Below are 4597 nucleotides of genomic sequence, written 5' to 3'. Positions count from 1 at the left end.
AATAGCTTTTGCTCCTTAAAGGAGCCACATTATTTTGGATAACCAAGATAGTAATTTAGACAACTAATTGATATAGGGAGAAGATATTACAACAACTTATACAGGAATCTTGGACCCCATACACATGATTTGGGCACAAACTAACAGGATGATTTTATTCATATCTTTAAACGCCAATTAACTTTTTAACTATCCGAAATGAACTTAGTGTTAAATCATCAAAACATTAGCAAATTACCCTTTATGACTCCCAATAGCTAATGCAGACGTATGGAAAGAAGACGTTTCCTTCTGCAGAGTCAAACTAATATGTTCACCTCCTTAATGCAGGCATAATATAACAAATGATAATTATGGTTTTAGTTAGTGGGTGAACAACTGCAGTGAAATGGAAAAAGTCAGAGGATAGGAACAAAGCGAGCTAGCTCAGAAATCTTTACCATGCCAAGTATATTTAACCCATATTTAAAATTAACCTAAAATAAATTGTGGAAACCTTGGCTATCGTATCTGGCTTAGCCAGTTAGCAACCTTTTCAAATATCTAGATTCTGGTATGTCTGACCAGTTTTACCAGGAATGCTGGCAAAAAAGGAGAAGAAAGATTGGAAATATTTTCTGCTGGGGTTACATTTGTAAGTTATGTTCTTTATGCAAGTTTAGGAAAATTTTAGCTAGCTAGAATGTTCCAGGTAATCAATGTTCACTTTAATATTATTATCTGGAAAATAGTATGCATTTGTTATAAGTTATATAATAAAACTTTTTTTAAACTTCAGAAAATCTTTTTAAAATCGAAGTCATCATTATATAAAATGTATTACACATTACCTGAATAACTACGTATGTTGACTTTCTTCAGAAGTATCATTCACATCATTAATCTCATTGTAAAAGAAAGACAGCTTCAGACAGTTTAATAGATGAAAGTGAATGAGCAACTACTCTTGGTAATTCCCTGACACATGACTAACAAAGCTTAAATTGCCTACAGAAGTTTACTTTCATATGACTTGTCTTTGTTCCAAAAGTAGAGAAAGGGCTGGGCGCGGTAGCTCACGCCTCTAATCTTAACATGTTGGGAGACGGAGGATTACTTGAGGTCAGGAGTTCAAAACCAGCCGGGCCAACATGGTGAAACCCCGTCTCTATTAAAAATACAAAAAAATTAGGGCATGGTGGCGGGTGCCTGTAATTCCAGCTACTCAGGAGGCTGAGGCAGAAGAATCGCTCGAACCCGGAAGGCGGAGGATGCAGTAAGCTGAGACCATGCCACTTCACTCCAAACTGGGAAACAGAGTGAGACTCTGTCTCAAAAAAAAAAAAAAAAAAAGGTAGAGAAAATGTTTAGGCTATATGAATTTTATAATCAATTACATTTCATAGAATGTCTATGTATTTCTAAATTTTAAATATTCTATATCAAAGAACTATAACATTTTCATAAATTTCACAGGATTTCTTTAATCAAATGTTTAACTTTTACACTTTTTAGTTCACAATTATAGAGCAATTTTATTTAAATGTTGAATCTAGAAATTATCATAAATACTATTTTCTAAGGAAAACTTTTCATATAGGAACTAGAAGTCAGATAAATTTTATAAGATCAATACATTTTTCATGAAGCATTATTACATCTACTACCTTAGTTTATTCAGAAATAACAACTCTATTAAGAATATTTAAGCCAAAGGATAAATAATATTTTAAGCAAATTTCATTGCTTATGTACACAGGATAAAATTAGAAAATAAAGTATAAAGCCATACTCAGAAATGTTCCGTTTTCTCATTATCTAGTGATAACCACTCACAACTTCTTCGGTGTATTTCTTTCCATTGCTTTTCTCTGGATGTGTATGTGTCTACACAATGAAGTTTATATTGCATGTAAAATTTATTTTATTCAATATTATATTTACTCAATATCACTATTTTACTCAATATTGTATCGTGTCTGTTACCTTATGATATTAACATTTTCTCAAAATACCATCTCAAGTGCTACATAATATTCTACTTATGGCACATATAGACATGTCATAATCCATTTAAATAGTTCTCTAAGGATGAACATTTATGATTCAAATATTTTCTATTGCAAATAATGCTATAATGAATATCTTAGAACCTAAATATAATATTGCCTATTGATTTATTATTTAGGATATATTTATAGTGGTATAGTTTTAATAAAAATTTGAATTAAATATTATAGAAGTGTTAAAAAGCTTCTCATAGGTCTTTAATATTACAAATTTTCATTAAGGTACTGTAATCAATGTTTTGTATTGAAAATTAAATACATGAAATTATTATGCATGCTAACATGTCTTTTTGGTAGTTTAGATAAAATGAAGGGAAATCAAATGAACTCATATATAATTTGTTGATTAAACAGTGAGTTTCACTGTGTGGCTTTGTAAAAGTTACTTAACTTGTCAGTGCTTCAGTTTTCTTATTTAAATGAAGATTACAATAATAGTTTATAGAACTGTGCATGGTACAAAGTAAGAAATGATAGATAAATAGGCAATGAGTTATAGCTATTATGATTGTTTTACTTATTGTTGAATCATTGGTCTGATGCCTGTAATCCTCAGGTTTCTAAGAGACATGAATAATTTCATTCTTAGCAAATACATAGCTTTTAAGATTTCTACCCAAACGATTCAGGATTGCCTTCTTTCTGCTCATATGTAATATAATGAAGGGAAAAAATATTATCTATTAAAGCTAAGGCTGAAATAAATGCTGTATAACTCTGAGTAGGAGATAGCAAAGAAAATGCATCATCTGGCCTTTCCTTTATTAGCAGTAGTGAGATATAAAGGCCTTTGCATCATAGTCGCTCCTTGAGGGAACAAAATAAAGCTAAGGAAATGGAACCTTCCTCCTTACTGGTCCTCATGATTTATGACTATAATAAACCTGACTACACAAAAGCACACATTGTTTCAAGGAAATGCTAAGTGTCATCTCAACACACCCAAAAGCCTGCTCTTCATAAGAAAAAAATGTTACAACAACCAGTGATTCACTTCCCTAATCATTTGCTTACAAGAAGCATCCTACTGTGTTCATCATCAAGAAACACTATATTCCTTTGACTATCTCCTTAGGAAAGAGGGTGGGGAACAAACACAGAAGAAAAGAGTAAAGTGAGAATGAGGCTCTAGAGCAATAGAGAGCTTTTGATGAGGAGGCCAAAATATTGAGTCTGTCACTGTTCTGCTAGTTGGGAATTTGAGGCAAACTACTTGGCTTCCATCTTTTTAGCTATGAAAAATTAAGTGATTGAAGTAAACGATTTCTAAGGCCTTCTCCATCTACAACATTCTTGAAATTTGTATAATCTTATTAATAATAGAGGCCAGCATGGCTGAAATGGAAGCAAAAGAGTGAAGAAGTTAAAGTACATCCTTCAAAAATTACCCTGCTGAGAAAATTAACATTGAACACAGTAACTGTAATTATGAGACAAACTGCAACATTTGACACCAGTGATCACTTCAGCTTATTTTCCTCTCTTGATTTCTACTCTTTCCCCGTCTCTTCTGGTATTTTGTTGTACTTTCTTTGTTCTTCTCCCCCAAGGTTTTAAGTAAAGAGACTGATAAATTATCTCATTCAACCCCTCCTCTGCATTGTTCAACCTATGCAAATGCACCCATCAGCTGAAATGAACATAATGAAAGAGACAGCTAAAAGACTAGTTTAATATGCTAATGAATGTTGTATTAGTTCATTTTTACACTGCTATTAAGAACTGCCCAAGGGTGGGAAATTTATAAAGAAAAGAGGTTTAATGGACTCTTAGTTCTGCATGGCTGGGGAGGTCTCAGGAAAATTACAATCATGGCAGAAGGGAAGAAGTCACATCTTATATGGTGGCAGGTGAAAGAATGAGTGCAGGGCAAATTTCCCCTTTTTAAACCAAGAGGTCTCATGAGAACTCTCTCACTATCATGAGAACAGCATAAGGGAAACCACCCCCACAATCCAATCACCTTCCACCAAGTTCCTCCCCTGACATGTGGGGATTACAATTTGGATTAAAGTTTCAGATGAGATTTGGGTGGGGACACAGCCAAGCCATATCATTCCACTCCCAGCACCTCCCACATCTCATATTCTCACATTTCAAAACACAATCATGCCTTCCCAACAGTCTCTCAAAGTCTTAACTCATTCCAGCATTAACCCAAAAGTCCAAAGTCTCATCTGAGACAAGGCAAGTCCCTTCCACCTAGGAGCCTGTAAAATCAAAAGCAAGTTAGTTACTTCCAAAATACAATAGGGTTACAGGCATTAGACAAATGTTCCCATTCCGAATGAGAGAAGTTGGCCGAAACAAAGAGGCTACAAGCCCCATGCAAGTCCAAAATCCAGCAGGGTAGTCATTAAATCTTAAAGCACCAAAATAATCTTCTTTAACTCCATGTCTCACATCCAGGGCATGCTGACGCAAAGAGTGGGCTCCCACGGCCTTGAGCAGCTCCATTCCTGTGGCTTTGCAGGATTCAGGCCCTACTGCCACAATCATGGGCTGGCATTGAGTACCTGAGGCTTTTTCAGTTACACAGTGCAAGCTGT

The 4597-nt window shown here is 34.4% G+C and overlaps 1 annotated feature.

Moving 5' to 3' along the window:
• Positions 300–1499: an enhancer, noted in NCBI's record as "CDK7 strongly-dependent group 2 enhancer chr9:29566267-29567466 (GRCh37/hg19 assembly coordinates)". NCBI's record gives its function as "activates an origin of replication core promoter dependent on BRD2, BRD4, P300/CBP, MED14 and CDK7 cofactors, with strong dependence on CDK7, by STARR-seq in HCT116 cells {active_cell/tissue: HCT116}" and the evidence as "EXISTENCE:reporter gene assay evidence [ECO:0000049][PMID:35650434]".

The sequence above is a fragment of the Homo sapiens genome, chromosome 9 (assembly GCF_000001405.40).
Source record: "Homo sapiens chromosome 9, GRCh38.p14 Primary Assembly".
NCBI classification, from domain to species: domain Eukaryota; kingdom Metazoa; phylum Chordata; class Mammalia; order Primates; family Hominidae; genus Homo; species Homo sapiens.
This window is presented reverse-complemented; position numbering and strand designations above follow the sequence as displayed.